General features: G+C 39.1%; 1 protein-coding gene across 3 annotated transcripts in view; it reads right to left on the bottom strand.

The window, feature by feature from the left end:
• CFAP58 (cilia and flagella associated protein 58) overlaps positions 1-27,723 on the bottom strand; it is a 116,583-nt gene that overhangs the window by 57,211 nt on the left and 31,649 nt on the right. For all 3 annotated transcript variants that reach the window (NM_001400226.1, NM_001400227.1, NM_001008723.2), the window contains 5 exons: positions 26,838-26,997; positions 20,999-21,081; positions 17,672-17,863; positions 5,498-5,659; positions 4,417-4,563 (listed from right to left, as the gene is read on the bottom strand). In NM_001400226.1, coding sequence (NP_001387155.1) covers positions 4,417-4,563; positions 5,498-5,659; positions 17,672-17,863; positions 20,999-21,081; positions 26,838-26,997 — 744 coding nt within the window. The remainder of the gene's footprint in view (positions 1-4,416; positions 4,564-5,497; positions 5,660-17,671; positions 17,864-20,998; positions 21,082-26,837; positions 26,998-27,723) is intronic.

The following is a 27,723-nucleotide window of genomic DNA, read 5'->3' as shown; positions in this document are numbered from 1 at the left end:
CTATATAGGGCATGCAGTGGGGGAACCAAAGTTACATACGTTACAGGAAAGAAGAATATGCCTTTGAGAGGTTCCATGCCCAACTGGGATGCATGATGGATATCACAGACCAGGTCAGAACAAAAAGAAGCAAATGTGGAGGAAGAGCTCTGCTTTCCCCCATGCTGGAATCACAACGGAGATGACAAGATAATATTAAGGTTTCAACTTGTCAGTGGCTTGCAAGTTGGCAAATGTCAGTAAAAGAGTAATAATTTTTTCCTTCAAGTCAATATTTGGACCCCCGCCTACCCAGAAATGACACCAAGATGATGGAAACCTCATACTTTTAAGTGCCTTTGAACCAACCCAACTTTAGTTACGGTCTGTCTCTGCCCCATGAAAACCAAAAGTCATTAATTCTACACCTCAGACTTATCCAAACAGTAAAAGATACTGTGTACCTTGTAACAGATGTGTAACATCACAAACTGAATGCAACCAGGTACTATAAAACAAAGGGTTTCTTTTATGACATTTTGTTTGTTCATTCATGAAATATGTTTTGGTCTAGGGATAAGCAAAAGGAAATACTTATTGAGAAAAGATCTCATCTAGTATTTACCACTTGGGGGGATTGTCTGTTAGGAAAGAGAACAAAGAACCAGCCTTTCTGTTTCTATAATCATTTAAGGTGACAGCAAAGACAGCAATAAAATACCTGTTTGGCTCATGCTTTCTTTAATAAAACTTTTATTTTCCCAGATGTGCAACATTCACTTCCCTGTTCTTAAGTGCCAAGAGCTGATCAGAATCCATCAGCAGAACAAAATGAAACCCCTGTTATATTCAAATGCAATCAACAGTGTGTAAAAGTATCTGTCTGAAATGTAAAACCACTCGTGCATTTGGCATTGCTGGGTACTTTTTTCATAATATATCAAAATTCTGAGTGGTCTCCTTATGTCATAAATTTATGGGCTGTAAACAAGATGTGGCATTAGACATTGGCAGAAAATGTTAACATCAACAAAATACCTTGGGTCTAATGCATTTAGCAGTTATAAAACTGAGCCATCTCACCCAGGAAGGATGGCAACAACCACTATGCATTCAAAAGCTCATCAAGCAACGCCCTAGGTGGGACCTGAGGTTTCTGCACCTATCCAAGTGTTACTGGTGGTAAAAAGTTATAATGAGATGGCGGGACACAGCCTTTACTCACTGCTTCCACAATTATACAATTTTGCAAAAGGCATTATGGATTATCTGTAACCAGATTTGGCTATGGGCATAAATCATATCTCAAGAGTCATACTTGTAGAATTTCTCCCATTCATACATGATCTCAACACGAGTTTCATAGAAATCATCTGTTTAAATCTAGCAAAACAAATAGTACCACCTGAAGTCTTCTAGCCATGAGAATAATTAGGCTCTCTCTCTCTTTCTCTTTCTTTCTCTCTCTCTCTTTCTCTCTCTCTCTCTCTCTCTCTCTCTCTCTCTCTCTCTCTCTCTCTCTCTCTCTCTCTCTCTCTCTCTCATGGATAACAGCTCCCTATCCATGGCAGGCTACAGAGTCCACTGAGTAAAAGAATATGGTGCCCTGAAGCCAGGCTCTAATGTGGTGCTGAGCTCTAGACACAGAGAATTTGCTGCTGAATTATTCACCAAGAATCAAAGTGCTATCAGATACATGTAGGATGATTGGAAAGAGACAAGATAGAAGCAGGGGCTTGTTAGGACTGGAAGGCAGTAACTCCAAATGAGATGGTTCCTTCAGTGCTGATGAAACAAGCCTGGGACACAATGGGCAGATGAATGCAGACACAGCAACATCTGCAGAGAACTACTGACATCCTGTCACAACCATAATGTGCTGACAGTGTACAGGATCCTCAGGCATCAGTGGAGCCTGGTAGCAACAGAAAAAGTAAAAGAAACATGGAAGGACAAGATTTGTCTGCTGAAGGGGATGAATGAAGATGAGGATGACCTACTAAAGACAGTCGTTTGCCTATCGGCTTGGAAAAGTCATAAATTGAATTGTCCTGTCCAAGGGTATCTTACAGGCTACCTAGCAGGCAAAGGCTTGCCCCTCCAAGAGGGATTATGTACCCGCGTAGCTTCGTACAACTCGCAATAATGAGATAAATGTCTCTTGGAGCAAAGTTACTAGAAAATCTGCCCTTTCCCTCAGGGTTTTGGTTGGCAGACTTCAGATGCATGAAATCCAGGGACCTGTGTGAAATGTGATTCATTCTTAGGCTAAAAAAGTCAAGAGGCTAAAACTCAACATTTGAGCTGTCATATTTTTCTAGAGAATGTCAAACGAGCTTAATGATAGGCCAAAATTATCCAGTCGGAGCACCATTGCAAGTCACCCTTGGATAGACTCAAATAATAAATCAGGCAGGCCTCTCTCTCTGCTTCTCATTCTTGCCTTCATTGGAAATGCAGGGAGAAAGGGCATCCCAGTTCAACAGTAAGTCCAAAGCAATCATCTTCCTATAATCGATGACCTAAAGCCATCCAGACCTGGGATTCTCCATTTGGAGCAGTCTCTGGAGCAGAAGCCTTTTAATCATCCTTCATGTTCACCAGCTGCCAAATCTGCTGGCCCAGGTCCAAATGATACAGGACTTTATTGCCCTGTATTTTATTGTATTATGATGCTTCTTTTGAGCTTTATGTAGACACCTGATGGCAGAGGCCATAAATGAAACAAATATTAGCTAAAGTCAAACTCTGAGGAATTAGGAATAATTGATATTTTGTATAGGACACTTGTTCTAAAGCAGGATTTTGTAGAACGACATTAGTTCCAACTTGGACCCCATTATGGAGTAATAATTAATCTTTTGAATAGAGCATTACTAGGGAAAGTAAGAGATGAGACCCAACACCATCCTTTAAAGGGAAAGAGATGATGCACCAAATGGATTACATTGAGCCTTGCTAACATGGTCCATACCACTCATGGGTGAAGCAATGTTTAAAATAAGTTTCTTCCGATTCATTCAGCAATAAATAAACCCTATCCCACTACAAGCTCCACAGTGGAACAAACTGTTTTCTATAAAACTCTGGTTTCAAACAGGGAGTACAAGGGCAAAGATGCAGAACATTTTCCAGTTTTAGAAAATATATGTATATTTCTTTATATATAAAAAACAATGCAGAATCTTCTATTCTTTTTCTGTCATAAGCTAGAGTGGGGGAGATGAATGTCTGAGACAGGTAAATATATCAGTTACAATATCTTTTTTGTACATGCACTTTTGTTACAGTTTCTCAAATAAAATGAGCTTTAAGTTAATTTAATGTAGTAATTTTATTTCCATGAAAACCTATCATTAACTTGACAAAACTCATTATTAAATTGAGAGTGCCTATTTCAATCTATGGTATCTTAGAATCTAGAAAATATGGCATTGAGCCTGCCCAACACTAGATATAAATTTTCAAGACAGTGACTATCTTTGAAAGCTAATATGTGCAGAAAGCAAGGTACCCAGTCTCTAATTTGTTGTAAACAGTTTCTGCAAGTGGCTCTTAAGCACCCATGAGTATTCTGCACATATATTTTCATAACAAAAGTGGCATTATTTTCTTAGAAGTTCCTTTTTTAATCCTTGGTCAATTGGATTGGAAGGGAAATCTATTGGACTGGATAGGAAAAAGAAAAATACATTAGGTTTAGTGGTGTGTATAGTGAAACATATTTGGTTAGAGGATTTAAAATGGCATAATTATTTGCTTTGTATTCTTGGAAAGGGTCCTTATGTTAGTAGACATAGAATATCTAAATTAGTAGATTTTAAAGGGTATGTCTTAGTAAGATATATGAAGACAGAGATGATCCCTGGAAGAGCAGCTGCAAAGTTCTTAGACCTGCAGAGGTAAAGTGAACTACAAACCTGGTCAAGGGTAAACCAAGTGAGAACAGAGCTCTAACACCCAGTTGATAAGACTGCAGATAGAAACGTCACATGCACACAAAGTAAAAAACAGAGGTACAAAGCATCCCAGGGAGGAGTTTGGGAGGGTTGGGTGTGAGCACAATGGTTGTACTTGGTTGTGAATGCAGAGGGATTGTAGCAAGCTTGTAAGTTCAAGGATTTCTTGGCACTGCCAACCTGCTAGGTTCTCTCCCACTGATGTATGATAGCCTGCATAAATGAAAGGGGTGTGTTTGCATCTCCACTGCTCCCTTCCCCCATTCTACCTAGCAGCACTACCTGTAAGGAGCCCTGACCTAGAGATGGTAAAGCTCATCCTCCTGGTGCCTTGTGTGCTTGGTTTGGGTAACTAGCAACTGTGACCACAGGCAGGCGTGGTTGTTCTCCCTGCCCCTGGCTGCCTTCAGTGAGACTGGAGGCCGCCTGAGCGGGCTGATGAACTGTTGGTACTTTGCTTTTACTATGAGGTCAGTACCTTCAATGTTTCCTTTTCCTTTTCTATTCGCTGCTGTTCCAGGTGCAGCTTCACAAGTGCGGACTCTTTGGCAGAGATGTCTTCTTTCAGCTCATCTACCTGATGGATCATAATCTTTAACTTTCTCTTCATATCTGTTATTTCATCCTAACCAAATGAAAGGAGAAATGTTTGAAAGTGAATTAGACATCATCGTCCCTATGGAAGTTCAATATATATTTCAGAGCTTTTAAGGGACGCTCTCTCAAAACAATGGTCTCTTGATCAATTACAACTAGACTATTCCTTTGTCTCTAGTGCCCATCGACCTCAAAGTACTTTATTGTATTAACTCGCAAAATATTCTCATGAGATACACACAAAATATGCATAATGAACATCACACGCACACACCTTATTCCTCCTTTTACAAAAGGAATTGGAAGCACAACAAACATATAACTAAAAGATTTTGAAGTGAAGCTCTGGAATTCAAGAGTATGCTGCTGCCCTCTGAGTCATGGTAGCTATTAGCAGTTTTAAAAATTAGAAAGAGAGCTGGGGACAGTGGCTCATGCCTGTAATCCCAGCACTTTGGGAGGCCAAGGCAGGTGGATCGCTTGAGGTCAGGAGTTCGAGACCAGCCTGGCCAACATGGTGAAAACCCTGTCTCTACTAAGAATACAAAAATTAGCCAGGCATGGTGGCATGCGCCTGTAATCCCAGCTACTCAGGAGACTGAGGCAGGAGAATCACTTGAACCCAGGAGGCAGAGGTTGCAGTGAGCCGAGATCGCGTCACTGCACTCCAGCTGGGTGACAGAGTGAGACTCCATCTCAAAAAAAAAAAAAAAAAAAGTAGAAAGACGAGAATAGTAATTCTACATAATAATTAAAAGTAGGACCATGATCTCCACATCCTATTAAGATGTGTCATTTCCATTTCAAATAACCTGACAGTTTTGCGTAAATTGATCTTTTCAGGTGAATTCCATGAGTTTTTTTTTTAATCTATTCTAAATTCTGCCATTAGGATAACAGAAACTGTTTTAAATGCAGGGTAAAAATAAATCAAAATGTAAGGATATAAATATATTATTTACCTGAGCCTCAACCAGATTTTTGCTATACAGATTTCTGTCTGATCTCACAGCTTCATATAGGTTCTGTTGCTGTTTTAATTTAATCTCTGATTCAGCTATTTTTTTCCTGTAGTCAAAAATCTGTGTTTCACGAACTTTTATGTCTTCCATGTTCATAAGGACCTGGAGGAGAAAGACATATATGAATGTGGTTAAATAGCCCATCTGTGCTTATTGGTTCAGGACAAATGGAGTTTTTTATCTAAGGGTGGCTGGTAGAGATGCCAGTAATCAGAAAATCTGACAGTGGCTATAATCACTGCAGTACAACACAGAAATTCAGCCCAACTGATTAGGGGCAAATACACATTTTATCTATACTAGAGTTCTGCTCAAGTATAAAGCTTAACACAGTTATTTTGTGATCACAAGAAAGAAAAAAAAGAGAAGAAATTCTTTCAATTCTGAAAACCTCTCCCGACCACCCTACCCCCAAAAAAGGGAAAAAAAATAGTCACAGGCTTAAACAGATCTTAACACAAAGCACTAAGAAAGATAAGAGATAACCTAGCTGTTTGGCCACACTGGCTGCTTATAAAGTTAACCACGAGAAAGAAAAATGGTCTTTGAACTTTGATAGCAATCATAACGCTATCTTGCCAATGTCAAACTCACTCCATCAGGGGAACTGAAAAGCACTCCGTAAAAATGCATTCTATTGTGCACAAAGTACTTCCAGGAAAGGCGGGATGCAAGAACTACTGCCTCATTTTTGCAAGCATGAAAAACCAACACCTGAAATTCCACCATGAGTCAATACCTCTCAACAAGCCATGCACACAGTAGCAATGACGTCATCATGACTCTGCTGCAATGTCCACACAAGTTGCTTTTTTAAAGGTAAACTTCTTTAAAAAGTCCTTAAGAAGAAAAATTTTCATGAAGAAATCTGATTAAATCAAGGAAACTACAGTGTAAATAACAGCTAGAGCACATAAGGAGAAAATTCTTAAGAAAGTTTCGCTGTGTTTCTTGGTGTTCCCTTAATTAATGGTTGCAATGGGAGGACACAGAGCAATGTGACAGAGCATGGAGGAAAAGGGGACACATATGAAGAAACAGGTCCATGTATGAAGAAACAGGTCCATGTCTCTGGGCCCACATCTCTGAGGAAGTGACAGTTTACCTAGAACGAAAGGTGGAAAAGGACCTCTTAGACTTCTGCCATCCTGATATTCACCATGACTCAGGTGTGGGCTACTTGTGAGCAACATGTTCCCAAATTATTGCACTTACAAGAATCCGTTTTTTCCACTTGCAGAATTGCCATCCCAGAAAATACATAAATGAGAAGTCTGGTTCTATTCTTTCCCTATCAGAGTTAATGATGGCTATGATTTTAAATATTTATCCTTTATATATTTAAATAAGCACCTTTCAAAATTTTTTTACAGGTGCTTAAGGAGGGATGGGATTGAATTTTAGTAAATGTCTTTCAATGTATATAATTTTGTACTATTCTTTCTTATTGGGTCAATTGATTTGATAAACCTAGTAACAGATTTTTCCTTTTAAAAATATTTTAATTTCTTTATATATAGTTCCATGTGCCACAATTTAAAATAAATTCATAAATGTGAAATATACATTTATTTTCCTTATTTACTTGAACTTTCTCCCTTCAACATCAGCCCCTCTTCTACACAAAACAAAACTAGGTTAACAATCTACTATGTATTCTTCCATATTTTTCATTGGATTCTGCATATTCTATTCAGGTCTACAACCTAATAATAATAGCTAATATTCATCAGTTACCTTCTATGTACCTGACATTTTATATGTATTAGCTCCTTTAATCTCTCAAAAATCCTCTAAGATATGTACTATTATTGCCCCCAATTTTACAAAGAAGGAAACAGATCAAAATAAGTAATATTTACAAAGTTATTCAATGAGTAAATAGACAACTACACAGATTTGTTTGTTTTCTGTTTGGCTTTTTGGGGTTTGTTTTTACTTTTTAGCCAAATGGGATCTTATAATTACTCTTAATGCACTTTCCTTTTTATCATCAAATAATACCTTGTAGAAATCATCACTCTAATTCATTCTCTTTAAAGGTTGCATAATATCCTATAGAGTGGGTGTGCCATCATAATTTAATTCTTCTCCACTGATGGGCATTAACTTTGTTTCCACTTTTTTGCCACTCTGAACCATGCTACAGGAAACATTTTTGTATGTGTATTCTCATGCACTTGTGCATTTATTTCTGTGGGATGGATTCCCAGGAGTAGAATAGCTGGCTCAAAAGACATATATATTTTCAACTTTAATAGATATTGCTAGATTGCTTTCCAAAATGGCTGTAACACTTTACATTTCCACACCACCAGCAATAGCTTTCTTAATAGAAAACTATCCTTGCAGCTTCAGGATAAACCCTCCTTGTTCATACTGGATGATTCTTTTAATGTACTGTTGAATTTGGTTTGCTGGAATTTCATTTAGGATTCTGCATGCATTTTCCCAAGTGAGCTAGGCCTATATCTTTCTTTTTAGTTCTTTTTTAATCTCAAGGTTTCTGTTAGTTTCATAAAGTGAACAGAGTACAGTATTGTTCACTTATTCATTCACTCCCCCATTTATTCATTCACTCCATGAACAGGTACTGAGGACCCATCTATGGCAGGCACTGTAAAAGCACGCATGATAGAAAGAAGAATAAGACACATTCTCTACCCTCAAGTTCACTTGTAGGGTGTGACTTCACCATAGAATGGATAATCAAGGAATGGATATAACCAGTAAACTGAGATATGCACCAAGTGTTATGGGAGAATCTAAGACTGAAAGGTTAATGCTTAATAGATTGAAAATACTTTGAACAGCATCATCAGCATTCAGAATATCAAGCAGCACGTTAGAGAAAGGAAAAAAATTGTTTGTTCAGTCACTTTCAGAGATGTTAGAACAGGAATAATTCTTTGCACAGGCAGAATAATGCCACAGAGAAAGGAGGTAGCCAGGGGCATTTCTTTTTTGAGCATCCAACTAGCATGGTCTGTCTTTCTGCAGACAACATGCACAAAAGTCACAAACTTGCTTCTGGATCCTTGAAGCTGGAGTAATAAGAACCCGTCAGGACACCAAGAAGATAAAAGGAATTAACAAATATTGAAACGAGCAGAAAAGACAATTTACAAGCAATGTATTTCTAAGTGTTGGGACTCGGTTTATTTTTATGGAAATCATTCAGGCCAAAGTCATGCAGAAGTTCAAATCCTGAAAATTCATAAAGTATATGGGTGTTAAGTAGTAGCCAAACCTCTTGTCAGCAAGCTGTCCCCATTAGAAGTGGTATGTCAGAGACACAGGCTGCCAGCTGTGGGGCTGGAGCTTAATTAATATACACTTTGAGATACCTCAAACCAACTCATGAGATAAATCACATCCAAATATAGAAAGTTTTATTACAGCCAGAGAATTGGTGCTCCTGGCACTCCTAGGCTTCAGGGGAGTCCAGAAAATGCTTACAGTGCACGACAGAAGTACAGCCTCAGTTTATAACCTACTCCTACCTTTTCTGTTGCCGTTAAAACAACCTGCCAATAGAAATAAGAGTGAGATAGAAATCAATAACGCATACAGGAAAACTGCAGCATAGCCAAAACATCACATAGACCAAGGTGGGATTAGAAAGTAGGTCATTGCATTTGGAACCCCTTAATGTACATTTGATGAAATATCAGTACAATAAACTTCTCCAATAAGTTTTTCTGACTTGATGTCAATGGTTTGAATGCTGACAATGCTTTTACCTTCATAATGAAACTGAAAAACTCACTCTGCAATAATAGAAAACAACTATGCGCCCTGGCTTGCGAAATGCTGAGTCTTCCCTATTTTTCTTGCCTTGTTATTTTACCCTCTATCTTGAATTTAGAGAGGCATATCTATGGCTTTGATTCAATTGCATAACATATTATATTATGAATGGGGGATATAATAATATCTATCTCACAGGGCTATTATGAGGATTTAAGTGAGAGAATATATGTCTACGCCAGCATATAAGTACTTAGCATATAGTAATTTAATCATTTAATAAATGCTAACAAATTATTATGATAGTTTACACTACGTCACGTTACATAATACTAGTACTTTAAAAAGTTAATTTGATTTTCCTCCGAATCAAATCCTGTTCTGCAGGAAAAGTAATGATATGAAGCATGCTTCTTTTATTATGATAGAAAAAGCTTATAATTTGTGTTCCCTTGATTCCTCTCTCCAGGATTCTACCCAATTACAGAGGCTCTGTATAAAATTCAAATTAACATCAATGAAACAGGAGCTTTATTTCATTATGAAGATATCTATCTAGTGGACAATATTTCTTTAATCAATTTTTGGTTTCTTTGCTTGCATTAAGTCCTTGAAAGCACATTATTATTCATTTCCTGGAATCTCTGTCCTGAAGAGCTTTGCTTGACAGTGTTATAGGCAAATGAGCAAAGAGCTAGGAAATTTGTTGTTAGGGATTTGTTGCAAAAGAATGTTTTCTGGCATATAAAATGTCTGCGAGGTGACTGCCAGAAGTTTAATATTTGAAATGAAAAAAGAGGGAGATCCTAAAATGAGGCAAGTGCATCATGTGAAAAATGTTCAGCAGATTTAATAATTTACTAGGAGTGGTTTTATCTAGAACATGTAAAAGTTCAGAAAGCAGGAAATATGGTAGATCACAACTTACCATGCCATTTCTCATGCCTCTCAATTTATCTGAATAGTGAAATTTAGAGTGCAGCAAAGGAAAATCATGAGGATAAAAACTGCTGTAATCCTGGGGTAGATTATCTTACGGTTTAACAAATGTTCACTCTCTCCCCTTGTCCCACAACCTAAAGAGAGAAGTGCATTTCCCTTGCTGTTGATGTTAGCCTTGGCCATGTGACTCGCTATAGCCAATGGGAGGTCAGAATATCAGACAAGTAGAGAGACATGACATGTGCCTGTATGCGTGGCTTTGTCTCTTGTTCTCCTTCCTTCCCCCATGAGAAGAACATGCACGTGGAGGATAAGAAACATGTGGTCCAGAACTGAGCCCAATCCACATCCCAGAGCCAAGTCCAGGCAAGCCCAGTTTAGGTCAGCTGAACCTCTGTCAACTGCAGGTGTGTGAATAAGAAATAAGTGCTTGTTTTTGTATCCCACGGAGATGTTGTGGCTATTTATCATGCACTATTATTATTGCAAGTGTTGATGGAGACAAACACATAGGAAAAGGTTTGGGATTCTGAGCCATCCAGTTCAGGCACAAAAGGGGATCTTCTTCCTCACTGGCAAATGCCAAGCTAAATGAATACAATATAATGTAGAAGTTTAGCATCTTCAAGTTCACTTTTCTTTCTCTAAGCAAGAAAGAACACGAAGGCAAATGTTGATGCTGTTTTGCAGCTCAGAAGGAAGAAGAGACCAGGTCTGGAAGTCACTCACAGCTAAAAATGCCAATGATAATTCAGATAAAATCATCCATCATGGTAACATGTTTCACATGAATTTAAAGGAAGGGCAGACCCATAGTCACAAGTAAATATATTGTTAGAAAATAACTTGATACAGATACTTAAAAGTGAGCCTCTGACTAGTTAACTCAGATGTCCAATTATGCTTTCCATTCATTCTTAGTTCAAAAAATATTTGAGTATTTACTTAGTAAATAAGCAATATGAAGAACTCAAAATTGAATAAGACTCGCCCCCAAGAAGCCAGTGTGTAGAATGAGGCAGACATACACAAGTAACAGTTACGTGCACACGGGCCTCCTCAACTGCCAGAGGGGAGCCAAGTACAGAGGAATTAGAGATCACTTTTAATAAAGCTTCTTGGGAAAGGTGGAATTTTATTTGGTCCCTGAAAGAAAGGCAAGGTTATTAATAGTGTTTATTTATTTTTTAAATCAGGATACTAAAGTAATACACAACCATTTTACTTTTTCTTATTTTTATTTATTTATTTATTTTTTTTTTTTTGAGATGGTGGTTCACTCTTGTCACCCAGGCTGGAGTGCAATGGCACAATCTCAGCTCACTGCAACCTCACCTCCCAGGTTCAAGCGATTTGCCTGCCTCAGCCTCCCAAGTAGCTGGGATTACAGGTGCCCACCACCACTCCCAGCTAATTTTTGTATTTTTAGTAGAAATGGTGTTTCACCATGTTGGCCAGGCTGGACTTGAACTCCTGACCTCAGGTGATCCACCCACCTTGGCCTCCCAAAGTGCTGGGATTACAGGCATGAGCCACCATGCCCAGCCCATCCATTTTAGAATAGCTAAAAAAAAAAAAAAGCAAAAAAGGAACAAATTTAAACAATTTGTATCCTTATCACCCAAAGATAACCACTATTAATATGTTAATATGGTTCCTTCCACTCATTTTCCTATTAAAACAAAAAAGGGTAACTAGGCATCTATCTGCTTTTTCTTCTTGCCTAAATTCTCAGAGAATTTTTCTTCATTATTGTAGATGAAACACACACACAAAAGGGCTTTCCTCTAGGGCAAGTCTACGGAGAGTCTCCTGTCACTGATTTTGCCTGGAACATGGTCAGCCTGTACAGGTCTTTCTTCATCTCCAGAAAATATTTTCCCACTACATCCTTGACCAGGGGCTCATTTCCATAATCAGAAACCAACTCTCTGTAGGCTGGTTTCTATTCTCTGCCCTCTTCTCTCTTATCTTCTCTATGATCATTTTTGTAGAGACCAGGTCTCCTATGTTGCCCAGTCTGGTCTTGAACTCCTGGCCTCAAGGGATCCTCCTGCCTCAGCCTCCCAAAGTGCTAAGATTACAGGTATGAGCCACCACACCTGGCCTGATTCCATTTTCCACAACAATCAATTCTGTTCTTTACTAACTTTGGTGTGGATTTTAAATCTGCCTTTTTTTTCTTTTTTCTTTTTTAGTTTTTATACAATTGATTCTTATTTTGTCCAACTCTTCCTTTTTATTTCATCTTTGCTTTCTCCTAGCAGTAACGCCATGTTGGATTTATAACTCAGGTGATAGTCCTGTATTCTACTGGGGTCACCTTGTCCTTTACAACAACAATAAGTCTAGACTTTCCATTCTATGTGCTGGGAAGCCCCCAAACCCTCTAATATCTCCAAGAATTCTTGGAAGAATTGCATTTCTTCTACTTGCTGTGGCTCTGGTTTGCTGTTGCCATAGCATTCTAGATTCTCAGGTGCATCTTGTCTCTTGCACATACTGTCCTTTTTCTGGGATGTGTCACCTCACATCCTCACCACCCCATGCCTGTGCCACCAAAGTGCAATCACAACGCAGGGTTGATGTAGCAGATTTGCCACCGGAGGTTTGAGGAACTTAAAATCCAATATTGGACATCACTGTTTTCTGCAATTCCTCCATCATTCCTGTCTTAGGGAACTCCTCACTTCCAGCAGCACCCAGCCTACTGCCTTGATGCTGACATTGTGTGCCCTCCTCTCCCATTCTTCCCTATCTACTCCCTATTTCCTGCTCACCACCCACTCCTCCTTTCCCACTTCCTGTTACTTTTCTCACATGACTGTTTCACTCTGGTTCATGGAGCCTCACCTTTCAAACCAAGGCAAATATCAAGGTATTTTGCTAAACACTGTTCCTCCCACAAGGGGAAACTTGGCACCAGGTTTTATGTACTTACAATCTTTGAAGGAAGCCAAACCTTTTCTCTGCATTTTCTTCTATTAGGTTAAGAACCTTATGAAATCGCTGATAGTCAGTTGTTTCTTACTTACCACAAAAAGGCTATTTCAAAGAGTTCAACCTAAAGTTCTTGCCATAGAAGCATTTTCAGAGCCAGACCTTTACCGTGGGGCTTCTAGAAGCCATTCTCTTTCTTTGGTTCTCAGGCATGTTTTCCCATAGGCTCCATTAGGCTGCTTTTTTCTTTATTCGTTCTTGAGCAAGACAGGATTTACCACAACCTAAGAACAATGCTACTAAGGTGAAGGGGTTTACCTTTGCCCAATTCTTAGTACCCTAGGGTGGTGGCAGATCCACTTTCAAATCTACAGCTGGAAACACAGTGACATGCCAAGTCCCAGTCCACCTCCCAATTTCTAATATTCTTTAGTGATATTGGAGGAGCCAAATTAGGTATGTCTCCAGTCCTTTTTGTATGCATACAGACAAAACTGGAGACAAACTCTACAAATAATTTTGCATTGTCTTTCTCAGATTCATATTAGAAACATGTTCCCATCTTTAAAAATAATTTGCAAACACATGATTTTAACAGCTACATAATACTATGTCAAATAAATGTAACACAATTTATTTAACCTTTCGGGGGGCTGATTCCTAGTTCTCATTATTATAAATTATGTTTTGAAAAAATATTCTTTCATATAAATCTCTCCATTTCTTATTTTTCATTAGATTCAGTTTTTTCTTAAAAAGGAAAATTCTGGGTCAAAAAGATAAACTTGGAACAATGTATACTCACTTTAGAAGTAGAAGAAAATGTCAGTTTCATGACATCTTCCCCAGCCTTTGATATTATTTCTCAATACTCTACAAATAGAATGCACATAAGGGAGCTTTTCGTTTGTGAGAATGAGTGTGTGTGTGTGTGTGTGTGTGTGTGTGTTGGACAGTAAAGAAAGAAAGAAATATGAGAAGAGGACAAAGAGACATACATATCCTTAAGAAGTCCAGAGATGCACAAGTTGCGTAGCAACTGATACATGCTGTCAGGGGTTAAGCAAGACACAGAAAAATTGTAGGTGATAAGTAATATTTTAAGAACTTGTGTTTAAATTATTTAGGTAAGACATTATGTGTGGTTAAATATCAGAACTTGTGAAAAACAGTTAACAAAAAAACTTGGTATCCGAATCTCTCTTTTACAAGGAAGCCAAGAAATATATACAATTGTATATTAAAATCAGTGGCAGCATTCTTTTTACCACTTATCATCTATCCATTTGTTTAACAAATACTTTTTTGGTGTCTCTCATGTGCCAGGATGCTAGAAATAAAGAAATGAATGAAATAAAGTCCTTGCCCCCAAAAGCTCACTATAAAGTGGATAAAACAAATATGCAAATAAATAATTACACTATAGATTGATAATCATCATTCCAGAGACATTAACAAATCCATAAAAGTACGAAGTGACAAGCTCTGCCCATAAGGAACCAGAGGGAGCTTGACCTGAGCATTTGAGTTAGGTCTCGAAGGGTGAATAGGAATGTGCCATGCAGAGAAAGGACAGAACTTTCCACAGAGAACAAAGAGGTTGGACTCTATCCCATTAATGCAGAGTATCCCAACTGCTGTGCCTTTCATGGGTTTCAGATGTGTGCTAAAATACTGATTTTACTATACCCACAGGATGGCCAGGTGGGACCTGGGCAGCTGGCATCCCTGGATTGGTTCCTCCAGCCCCAAACAGCTTCATCTCCTTATTCCCATGTGCCACTGACATGTGCATTAGTCCATTTTCATACTGCTACAAAAAACTTCCCTGTGACTGGGTAATTCATAAAGAAAAGAGGTTTAATTGACTCCCAGTTCCGCTGGCTGGGGAAGCCTCAGGAAACTTACAATCATGGTGGATGGGGAAGCAGGCATCTTCTTCACAAGTCACCAGGAAAGAAAAGAATGAAGGAGGAACTTCTAAACACTTATAAAACCAACAGTTCACATGAGAACTCACTCACCATCATGAGAACAGCTTAGGGAAAACTCCTCCATGATCCAATCACCTCCCTCCCTCGACACATGGGGATTACAATTCAAGATGAGATGTGGGTGGAGACATAGAGCTAAACCGTATCAACATGTAATTTTTTATATATGCTGTGATATGAAAAGTGTTAGGAAGCCCTGCCCCAGGGAGAGGTGACAGAGGTTTATATCCAGAGTAATAATAAAACCACACTGGAATTTTTGAGAGTTAGCTCTGATGGTGGTGTGATGGCACCTCGGAATGGAGAGAAATTGCTTATCAGGAAGAAGAAACTGGAGGCTGCAACAGATGACATTTTATGTTCAAATATATTTGCTGCCTCACCCTACAGGGCCCCTCCCTAAGGAGGACCACACTCCTGCCCAGGATGTCCGGCACAGCCCTGTGACTTGGTTGGCCGGTGGAATATGAGTGGGTAGGATCTGTGCCCTTCCCTTGTCAGCAGAGGCTCAGAAGCTCCCTGAGGGTCCACTGTTTCACCATTTCCCTTTGTCCAGAGGCCAGGGCATCCTGACAGAGTCAGCCTGGAAAGAAGAGGACAAAAAGGAGGGATGCAGCTGACCTGCAAAGGCCAGTTATATGAGCAAAACATAGATCTTTATTGCTGCGAACCACTAAGGTTTGAAGGTTATTTGTGCAGTGTAAACTGATGAATACAGAAGCTAACGTGCGAGTCCAAGCTCGATAATACCAGGGCCTAAATTGACAACGAGTCCTCAGAGTCAGTAAATCAATCACTGGAGCTTCTAAGATGGTTAAGTCAGAAGAGAAATATGCTCTGCTCCAATGGCTCCCAATTAGGGGTGTGAGAATCCATTGGGGATCACTGTCCTGCAGAGTTAGACAAAGCCAAGGCACTGTGCTCCTCCAGTAGCCCTTCCCAAAGCGTCTGCAAGGCATTGATTTAGTCTAAGTGGGAAGAAGCTGACTTCCTATCAGTAAAGTTTGTTTCCCACTTTCTTTATTTCTGTAATACAAATATTGGCTGTCCCTTGTCACCTTCTTTGACATTTCACTCCAAAAAAAAAAAAATTTAAGCATGCAAGAGCATTGGTAAGCACTGCAGAATGTAACCTGAATTTCATTGAGGAGATGGAAGAGAGGGCTTACCTTGCATAACAGATCACATCTTGCTAGGGGGAGAAAAGGTGATTAAATGAGTCTTTTCTCCCAAACTTTGTTATCAGCCTCGTAACTAAAACTTTTCTCCATTTCCCAGCCTCCCACCCCATTCCTAGACCACTGCTCTATGCCATCTATGAATGCATTAAAGAGAGTACTATTTTAACCACTCATGCTTAATGCAGGCAATGCACTAAGACAGCTGGCTAAAATGAAATCCAAATCTCCAAAGCCATTCTTGGAGACATATATCCTCGAGCCTTCTCTCTCCTAAGCAGTTTATAAGAAGCAGAGATCTAGAACTCAGCTCCCCAATGTTTGGATTTCCTCCAGTGGTGTTTGTTTGTTTGTCTGTTTGTTTGTTTGTTTGTTTGTTTTGAGACAGGATCTCACTCTGTTGCCCAGGCTGGAGTGCAGTGCTGCAACCACAGCTCACTGTAGCCTCCACCTCCCGGGCTCAAGCGTTCCTCCTACCGCAGCCCTCCAAGTAGTTGGGATCATAGGAGCACACCACCATGCCCAACTAATTTTTGTATTTTTTGTAGAGACAGGGTTTCACCGTGCTGTCCAGGCTAGTCTCAAACTCCTGGCCTCAAGCTATCCACACCCCCTTGGACTCCCAGAGTGCTGGGATTACAGATGTGAGCCATCGTGCCCAGCTCACAATAGTTTTTTTCCTTTTTAATTTATTTTGGTAGAGACAGGGTCTCGACATGTTGCCTGGGCTGCTTGTAAGCTCCCAGGCTCAAGCAATCATCCTGCCTCAGCTTCCCTAGTGCTGAGATTGCAGGAGTTCATAATCGTTTTAGAATAAAAAATGCTCTTTGAATATTGACACACCTAGCAGATGCAGTAGTCACTCACATCTTAACTTGTGGTCATTTAATTAGATGCTTTTCTCCTAACATCAAGTTGGAGTCCTTTCCCTGAGGGGACAAAAGTTTCAGTGACAGATGCTGGGTGGGTGCGGAGACTGGAGAGTTGAGAGATGATGCTGGCAGCCCTGGTGCCAGCCCAGGGATGCTGCACAGCATGGCAACAGAGAAGAGGGAGAACCCAGAAGTTGGAAGAGGGCCCTGGAAAGTAGAAATGAGAGAGCACCAAGCATAAACATTGTCCTTTTCACAATGTGGCCCAGAATCAGCTCGGAAACAGCTTATATTTTGTCCACATCGTTCCTCCCAAATCTTCACACAAATTACAAACAGAAATCTGAATAAATTCTCTTTGCAACAGTTTGTGACCATCAGAAATGCGGAGGAAGGAATGTGCCTCTGCTCCACCCACAACATCACTGAGCAGCTTACCTTTTGCGTAAGGTCACTGGCTTGGTTGATGTACCGGTCACGCTCCTTTTCCAGATGAAAGATGATCTTTCTCTGCTTCTGAGCCTCATCCTTGTAGTTCTGGATTTCTCCCTCCAGGTTCCTCTTGGCTTGTTCATGGAGCTTTACCAAGTCTGTCTGCTTCTGGGTCGCATTGACCGCCTTAAGCATGTTCTAAAAATAAGGGCACAAAGCAGTCACATTACTCATAATGTTCAAGGATTTGGGGTTAAGTTTACCCTCTGCCTCATCTCTAACATAATTAGATATCTTGTCTTTTGGATGAATAAAAATGATCATATTCTCTACAGCTTATTAAGAGTTTGTTATGCTAATTTTGCACAAGGCACTTTAAACACACATATAAATACACTAAGCAACCACAACGCCCCTAAGAAATGGGCACCATATTGCCCCATTTTAGAGGTAGGAAACTGAGACTGAAGAGTTAAGCTATTTGCCCACAAGTTCATACAATGGGGAAGTGGCAGAGCAAAGATGTGAATCCATGGCTGGCTAACCCCAGAGTCCATGCCTTTAACCTCCAGTCTAGTTCTAGCCTTTATCTTGTGAGGTTAGAACTGAACCTAATCACATAACTTGGGCTTTGATTACAAAGGAAGATAAAAAGCAGCTTAATAAAAATGCAGATACCTAGAATTAACACATGACCCAATAATTTCACTCCTGGATATATACTCAAAACGAAAGCAAAAACTTGTACATGAGTATTCATTGTAAAATAATTCACAAAAGCCAAAAGATAGACACAACCCAAATGTTCATCAACTGATAAACAGATAAGCAAAATATAGTATATCCACACAGTGGAATAGCATTCAGCCGTAAAAAGAAATGAAGTACTGATGCGTGCTACAACGGATGAACTTTGAAAACACTGTTCTGAATGAAACATGCCAGACACTAAAGTTCACATAGTGTATGATCCCATTTATATAAATATCCAGGACAGTCAGATCCATAAAAACTGAAAGAAGATTCGTAGTTGCCAGGGGTGGGAGGAGCGGGGGATAGAGAGTGGCTGCTGAATAGGTACAGGGTTTCTTCTGGGGGGACGAGATTGTCAAACTAGATTGTGGTGACGGTTGCCCAACATTGTGAATGTACTAAATGTCACTAATAGTAAATTTTGTGTTGTGTGTATTTAACCACAACAAAAACAATTAACTCAGTTTTTTAAAAATGCAGATGCTCATGTTCCAACTCCGAAGTTTCTGATTCAGTGGGTCTGGGATAGGACCCAGGCACCTACTTTTTTTTTTTTTTTTAAGCTGCACTGGAGATTTCTGATGCTGAAAAGGAAACATCTTGGGTTGGCTGCCCAAGTTCCCCTGAAACACAGAGTAAGTAGCAGTGCAATCTGGCAGCCATGCTCATGCAAAAGTGTTCACCTCTTTAACTGCAACTGAATGGATCAAATGACCCTTCCCCAGGAGTTTTGAAATAGGGCCTTTAGATTTTTGCAACTCAGTAGAAGATATAACCTTGGGAGCTATTGGTGACAGCCATTTTTTGTCATATGGACTGGAAAACGAGAGAGACAGTGACAATCTTCACTGAAAGAAGAATGGAGCAAAAACTCAGCAGGAAGTCAACTGGCAGAGAGAGATGCTTTCATCCCAAGAATGCCAGGCCAGTTTCCAATGGGTTCCTGAGGCCCAGCTGTATCCTTGAGTTCCATGAGGCACTTTAGAGTTCCTTCTCAAATCTCTAACCAACACAGAACCACAGATAGGTCTGAAAACTGCTGGACAATACTCAGGTAAAAGGCCTATTAAATGTTGGTTGGGTGACAATGTAGAAAACAGAAAAGATCAACTTTTTTTTCAAGTATTGGGTTAAACATTTGTTCTATAAAAGATAAAGCCACTTCCACATGACACTAAAAGAATCAAAATATATTCATGTTGCTACCTGTCAAAACCATTTCACTCATTCTTTGGATGAAGGTGGCATTTCAACTGAGTCAATGGGGAAATAACGTATTATCAATTAAAGTTCATTGCATACCTGCAGAGTTGGGTGCTGTGCTAGGCACTAAGAATACAAAGGCCAGGAAATAAAAAATACAAAAGTATACCCTGCCCTAAAGGAAGAATTGACATTAATCAAATCAACAAATAAATGTAAAATTACTATTGCACTACATGTCTTATCATGGCAGAAAACCTATTGGTTGTTTATTAGTACATATAAAATATAAACAGATTAAATGTGTGTTGAATATAAATTTAAAAATCTAAATCCAACACTATTGTTTATATGTACAAATGTATAGAATAAAAAAGCAATTTCCAAGATTGTCCAAGAAGAAAAAACACTTCAATGATTTTCTTTAAAAGTGCTTAGCATGTGAAGATCTAATCTATAAGTTCCTGAGATTCCCTGAATAGTCTATTTTAGGCTAAAGTATAGTGTATTTTGTTAACATTTGTTCAATTCTGGGAAACCTAAAGAATTAATGAAAGTCAGAATGAACAAATATAGACCGTTTCTGCCTTGATGAGATGAAACTGTCTTGGCCGTGGCTGTTATAGAAGCACCCTGCCACCATCCCCCACAACCACCCAGCCATCCACACCTGGCCTGTGGCTTCTTCCTCCCTGGAAGAAATCCTTGAGCAGGAAAATTTACCCTAATTCCCTGTAACTAAAAGTGACTTTCAATGGAAAAACTCTTCAGGAAGTGGGATAGGAAAAAGGAGGGGTCCTACATTTAATGGAGAATCTTCAGATCTCTGCCTTCAAGCTGCCGTAACCCCTCCCTTAGCTTTGGACCACACTGAGCTGGAAGGTCAGACAAGATAAGGACAGAAAACAAAAACCAAAACCTACAGCAACCCTGAAAAGATGGAGGAAAGCTTAGACCTGCCATTCCTACACCTAACACCTCAGAGCTAAAATTCAATTAGCACTCACTTGTAATTTTTGGATTAGCAAGTTGTCGATTATAGATATTAAATTCAGAAATGTTGATAAACTGCTTAGGATGCCAAATAGCACACCAGCAATGAAAACAGAATCCACAAAACACTCTGAAATCCCCTCCTGGCTTATATGCTAATTCTCCAAAGTCTTTTTGTGTTCTCAGGTGATAACGCAATTGCAATTCATGGCCAGTGAATCATAGACTGTAGGCAGCTGCTTAGAGGAAAATTAAGCACTATTATTTATTCTAATCCACTTTTGTTTGCCTCGGAGTTTTCTTTTCCCATCCAACTGGCTATAGCCAGATATTACAGTGCTGAAGAAAGACATTTATTTACCAGTGTGACTGTAACACACTCACCTTATTTAGTATGTCCCTTTCTCTTAGAAGCTCGTCCATTGCCTTTCTGTCAAGTTCTGCTTGTTTCTTTGAAGCCTCTACCTCTGAATCCCCAGGGAGAAAAAATAATAATAAACGTAGAGTCGACCTAAGAGAATCTACAAAAGCCGAAGTGATACAAAAACTGCTTTACATGTTTGTCTCTAGCTATAAAACTACTATTAACCAAGTGTATGTGACCTTTGGTATAACCAAGTGAGGTAGGTCTCCCTCTCTCACTAAAGAGATGGAAACTGAGGCTTGCAGAGATTAATCCATTTGCCAAAAGTCTGAAGCCAACAGGTGACAGGGCTAAGATTTCTCCAACGCCAAAAATGTCCTTGCTTTTTTTTCTTTTTTTTTTTTTTTTTTTGAGACGGAGTTTTGCTCTGTCGCCCAGGCTGGAGTGCAGTGGCACAATCTCGGCTCTACAACCTCCGCCTCCCAGGTTCAAGGGATTTTCCTGCCTCAACCTCTCGAGCAGCTGGGACTACAGGTGCAGCACCACCATGCCCGGCTAATTATTTTCTGTATTTTTAGTAAAGACAGGTGAGGACTAGCTCTGATTTTTTTTTTTCCTCTTGCCCAAATTCCTATCTAAGAGGTCTGGGGAGTCATGCCCTACAAACCATAAATTCTCATCTGATGGGTTTTATTTAACGCTGTATATCATGACTTACTTTCCAATCTGACTCTGGCATAACAAGGAATAAAATCGAAATATTTAACCCCAAAATGTATTTCCTTGCCATACCTTGAAATTGCCCTGCGAAGTCTCTTGTGGGAAAAATCCACATTCTATAAAGAATCCCCTTTTCCCTTTGTTTTCCTTCCTTCCCTTCCAGATCCAGGAGATAATCAAAAAAGAGCCAGGTACCCTTTTAGGTCCAATAAGAAACATTTTATAACCTGCTGTCCCTGAAGTCTGCTATCTGAAAGCTTCCTCTGCACAATAAAACTTGGTCTCCACAGTCCTTTATCTAAACCTGAGCATTTCCTTTCTATTGATCCCAGGTCTTCAGATAAACTCAACCAATTGTCAATCAGAAAATGTTTAAATTTACCTATAGCATGGAAGCCCCCCCCGACCCCATCCACCCCCGTTTGAATTGTCCTGCTTTTCTGAACCAAACCAATGTATTTCTTAAACGTATTCGATTGATGTCTCATGCCTTTCTAAAATATATGAAACCAAGCTGTACCCCGACCACTTTGGGCACATGTTCTCAGGACCTCCTGAGGTCTGTGTCACGGGCCATGGTCAGTCACATGTGCCTCAGAATTAATCTCTTAAAATATTTTACAGAGTTTGATTATTTCATCAACACTGGGTTTCACCATGTTGGCCAGGCTGGTCTCGAACTCCTGATCTCAGGTGATCTGCCTGTCTCAACCTGCCAAACTGCTGGGATTACAGGCAGGCATGAGCTACTGCACCCGGCCACTTGCTGTTTTTAAATGTTTTTTATTATACAAGTAAATAGAAATACAGAATGAAATTAGAAATTCAGATAAACGGAAGTGAAAAAATTTAAATCAACCAGAATCTACTTAGTATTTTAATATGTCTCTTTCCCAGCTTATTCTTATGTAAATATACGTGTATATAAATATATTTATAAATACATATATTTATATATATATTTGTAAATACACATACACCCCAAAAGGGAATCATAGTACACTAAGTATATAGTACACACTATATTCTGTATAGAGAATACAGAATACAGAAAATTTTTACTTTTAATTTTTATGTTTAATCTCTCAATCTTGGTTTTATGGTTTCAACATTTGGTGTTGAGTTTTTCCCCCAAAACAGAAGCTTATTGTACACATAGTATACTATTTTGTAGCTTGCTTTCATAATTAACAAGCATAGAATAAATACCTTTCCATACTATAAATGTGCATCAGCATCCGAATTTTTAAAAACCCATGGTTTTTCACTGTGTGAAAATACATAATTTATTTAGCCAATCCCTCATTTTAACATTTAAGTTGCTTCTTTTTCTTTTTTTTTTTTTTTGCAGTTATAAGCAATAATCCTGTGAAAGTTCTTATTCATATTTTTCCTGTAGAAGAGGAAGTCCTGGATCAAAGGGGATTTTTAATAGACATTTCTCTCCTACTGCCAAATTTCTCTCTAGAAAATTAATAGCAATTTAAATCCACACCCAAACCACCCCTGGATATCATCATTCTCTTTGATCTTTGACAGTCTGATAGATGTTTAAAAACCAATATGTCAGTATTTAATTTGCATTTCTTTGCTTAGTAGTGAAGTTTACTACTTCTTCATGTTTAATGACCATTTATTTGTATTTCTGTTTTTCAAATTGCCCAATTTGCCCTTTGCCAATTTCTCTCATAATATGTTTATCCTTTCTGGATTTTTTTTTTTTTTTTTTTTTTTTTTTTTCCTGAAACAAGGTCTCGCTCTGTCACCCAGGCTGGAGTGCAGTGGTGCAACTACAGCTCACTGCAACCTCTGCCTCTCAGCCCCCTGAGTAGTTGGGACTACAGGCGTGTGTCACCATGCCCAGCTAATTTTTATCTTTCTTTCTTTTTTTTTTCTGGTAGAGATGGGGTTTTGCCATATTGCCCAGGCTGGTCTCAGACTCCCGGGCTCAAGCAATCCACCCGCCAAAGCCTCCTAAAGTGCTGGGATTATAGGCGTGAGCCACCACTCCCGACCTCTTTTGTGGATTTTTAAAAGAAGCCCTTTACATGTAACAAAGAGCTCTGACATTCTTTTAGTCGATTTGCCTTCATTTATAGAGAATACAGAATATAGAAAATTTTAACTTTTATTTAATTTAATCTCTCAATCTTGGCTTTATGGTTTCAACATTTGGTATTGACTTTTTCCCCAAAAGCAGAAGCTTATTGTCATGCCATTATTTTCTTAAGAATCCATACTGCACACTGGTAGGAAACAACACCTTACCTTAGATGATAATCGAGAGTCTTTTCTGGCCTTTCCAATCTCTTTCATTGATCTGTTTATCTGGACATCATCACTATACAATTTGATTATTGAAGCTTTATAATACATTTAAACATCTGGGAAGGCAAATCTTCCCTTGTTTACCAGATTTCATTTCTATTTTCTATTCTATTTCATTTCTATTCTATTTCATTTCTATTTTCATATGTTTATTCTTCTGGAGGAACTCTAGAATCAATTTTTGAGTCCCATACAACATAACTCACTGAATTTTAAAGAGACTTGCTCTGTCACCCAGGCTGGAGTGCAGTATGTGCAATCATAGTTCACTGCAACCTTGACCTCCTAGACTCAAGTGATCCTCCTGCCTCAGCCTCCCAAGTAGCTGGGACTATAGGCATGTGCCACTACAGGTGCGCAGGAGCATGCCACCACACCTGGCAATTTTTTTTTTTGAAGAGATAGTATCTCAATATGTTGCCTAGACTGGCCTTGAACCCCTAGCCTTAAGCGATCCTTCTGTCTCAGCCTCCCAAAGTGCAGGGATTATAGGTGTAAGCCACCATGCCAGGTCCCAACTCACTGAAATTTTTTTGGAAAAATTAAATGTATAAATTAACTTGGACAGATTTATATTTTTATTCTATTGAGTTTTCTCATCCAGGAACTTAATATATCTCTCCATCTTTCAAGTCTTCCTTTATATCCCTCAATAGAATTTTGTGGCTTTTTTTAATATATAGATCTTGCAGATATCTTGGTAACTTTATTCACAGATATTTTATTACTTTAGTTGCTGTTGTGAAGAGAATTTTTTCCATTATATACTCTGATTTTTTTGGTATGAAAAAAAGCTATTGATATCTACATATTTATTTTATAACCTGCCACCCTACTGAACTCTATTAACCTCTGTTGTTAGTTCTGGTAGTTTTTCAGTTTATTTCTTGGTTTCTGTGGTAGCAAATCATAACATGTAGGAGGGAGACCCATGCTCCTAACCATTATGCCCAGTGCCACTTTTTGGTTGAACACATCAAAAGGACGTGATCCCTAAGAAGAAATAATGATATTGATGATACCTATAAAGTAGTCAAAAGAGAGAGAATGATAACTTTGTATACATGATTTAAGGATGAAGAGTTGGGCTCAACGCCAAATGGGTAAAACTTTTTTTTCCAAAGCTTAGAACTATTGCAAGCAAAAACAGAAATTTAAATATGGAAGTGTTTTGATAGCCAGTTACAAAAATTGCTCTTAAAGTTCCAGTTTTCTTCATTTCTGTCACAGAAAGTGTTAGATTGAAAACTCACACTAGACTGTGGCATAACAAAGAATAAAATCGAAATATTTAACCCCATGGAGGTCCTCCATGCACCCAGCACCTAGAATAATGCCTGCCCATAGTCTGGGTTTGATTTACTGAATGCATGAACAGAGAAACTGTTGAGATAAGCTGGAACTGCATCTCAATAAAACATTATTTCTTGATGTCTTAGAAGGAAAAATATCTACAAAGACCTAAGTGACAAATATTTCTTTTTTTTCTCTCTCTTTTTCTTTTTTATTTTTTGAAACAGAGTCTCACTGTGTCACCCAGGCTGGAGTGCAGTGGCACAATCTCAGCTCACTGCAACCTCCACCTCCCAGGTTCAAGCGATTCTCCTGCCTCAGCCTCCCAAGTAGCTGGGATTACAGGCACCCGCTACCATGCCCAGCTAATTTTTGTATTTTTGGTAGAGACAGGGTTTTACCATGTTGGCCAGGCTGATCTCGAACTCCTGACCTCAGGTGATCCGCCTGCCTTGGCCTCCCAAAGTGCTGAGATTACGGGCATGAGACACCGTGCTTTGCCTTAATTTTTTTTTAAGACAGAGTCTCACTAGTGACAAATATTTCTAATAATTCTATCCAGAGATTTAGATTGTACCTAACTTTTAGTGAGGAATGTGTGCTTTTGTGCTTTTACGTATGTTGTCTCATTCAGTGATTGACAACTTACAGCCACCTGGGAAAAGTCAACAGGACACAGATGTTCCTGCCTCACGTACTTCAGTGGAGTCAGAATTCATACCCAGGTTCTTTGTCTCCAAGTCCAGAGCTGTTTCTGCTGCACCAAATTTGACAAGTATACTGTATTTTAATTATATTTTTTATTCAGAAAACAAGAATATATCTGGATGATGATGGATGGAATGTAATTAGCACTTACTGTGTGTGCCAGGCAGTGCCCACAAGTGCTCTGTGTTCACTTATTTCACCCCCAACCACCAGATGTGGTGAGACGGGATCTAAACCCAGGCAGCTCTGACTCCAGGGTTTGTGTCCTTACTGATTTCTCTGTACCTCCCTGTGGCACTTAAATTTTCCCTTCACAGGTCGGTTATAACGGTAAGACAGCGGTTCATCACATGGCAAAGTACTGACAGAGAAAAGATGTTAGAAGCCATTCATTTTTGTTCCGCTGATTCTTAGTGCAATATTGTCCCAGATACTGCTAATGAAGGACATTCATTCTAACGTATTCACTATCTTCTGTGGAAAAGAAGAACTAAAGCAGGTCATGTGAACCTCAGACATAAGAGTTTAGATGCTATTTACTCCATGGACAAATACTGAGCAATAATACTTCAGGTTGGATTGTCATTTTTGCCAATGGAACCTGTGGAAGAATTGTTTAAGGTAAGAGTTTAAGGTGTTCAAAATGATGCCCCCCACCCCACCCCATATTGACTGTTTACCAGTGTGAGTGTTGTTTTACTGATTTCATTTGGCATAGGTTGTGTTTGGAAACATGGAGCCCTGGGTTACAAGATAACATCAGTCACCAATAAAATGTTTCTAAATGAATAAAAGCGCAAAATGGTTTACCTCTCTCTAATCCCACAATCTGATTTTTTAGGGTTTCTTTGTGCTGTTCGACTTCTGCCTTTTGATCTTCGGTGTGGTGCAATTTCTTATGAATTTGTTCTCTGATTTTGTTGAGCTTCCCGATGTCAAGGCGCATTTGATGGACTTCTTCCTCTTTGGCCTGTAATTAGTGAGAAAGAATTAATGAGTCACTTTGTAAATGAAGAGCCAGGAACTGGATGATGGTAAACTCAGAACCAATAAAAGGAAATTCTTCCCATGGCATTTTAAAGTTGTTCTGTGAGATTAAATCAAGCACACACAATTTGGTTTTGAGAGAAATTGAAAAACTGTCCACTGAATAAAATATGTGGTTATGTTTTATATTTTTATAAACTAAAAATAATAAAAACACTGAAAAATTTTGTTTCAAGTTACCATCTGAAATGGTTTGGCTGTGTCCCCACCCAAATCTCACCTTGAATTCCCACGTGTTGTGGGAGGAACCCGATGGGAGGTAATTGAATCACGGGGGCAGGTCTTTCCCATGCTATTCTCCTGATACAAACTAAGTCTCACGAGATCTGATGGTTTTAAAAAGAGGAGTTCCCCTACACAAGTTCTCTCCCTTTGCCTGCTGCCATCCACATAAGATGTGATTTGTTCCTCCTTGCCTTCCACCATGATTGTGAGGCCTCCCCAGCCATGTGGAACTGTAAGTCCAATTAAATCTCTTTCTTTTGTAAATTGCCCAGTCTTGGGTGTGTCTTTATCAGCAGCGTGAAAATGAACTAATACACCATCTAACTGTAGAATCAAATAAGATAAGAATGCTAAGTTGTACGTATCAAAAATATGTGAATTTTGTATACAGTATTTGATTAGCAATTTTCATGAACTTGTGAAG

The sequence above is a fragment of the Homo sapiens genome, chromosome 10, assembly GCF_000001405.40.
Source record: "Homo sapiens chromosome 10, GRCh38.p14 Primary Assembly".
NCBI lineage: Eukaryota > Metazoa > Chordata > Mammalia > Primates > Hominidae > Homo > Homo sapiens.
The sequence above is the reverse complement of the archived record's forward strand: the minus strand, read 5'-3'. Positions and strand labels throughout refer to the sequence as shown.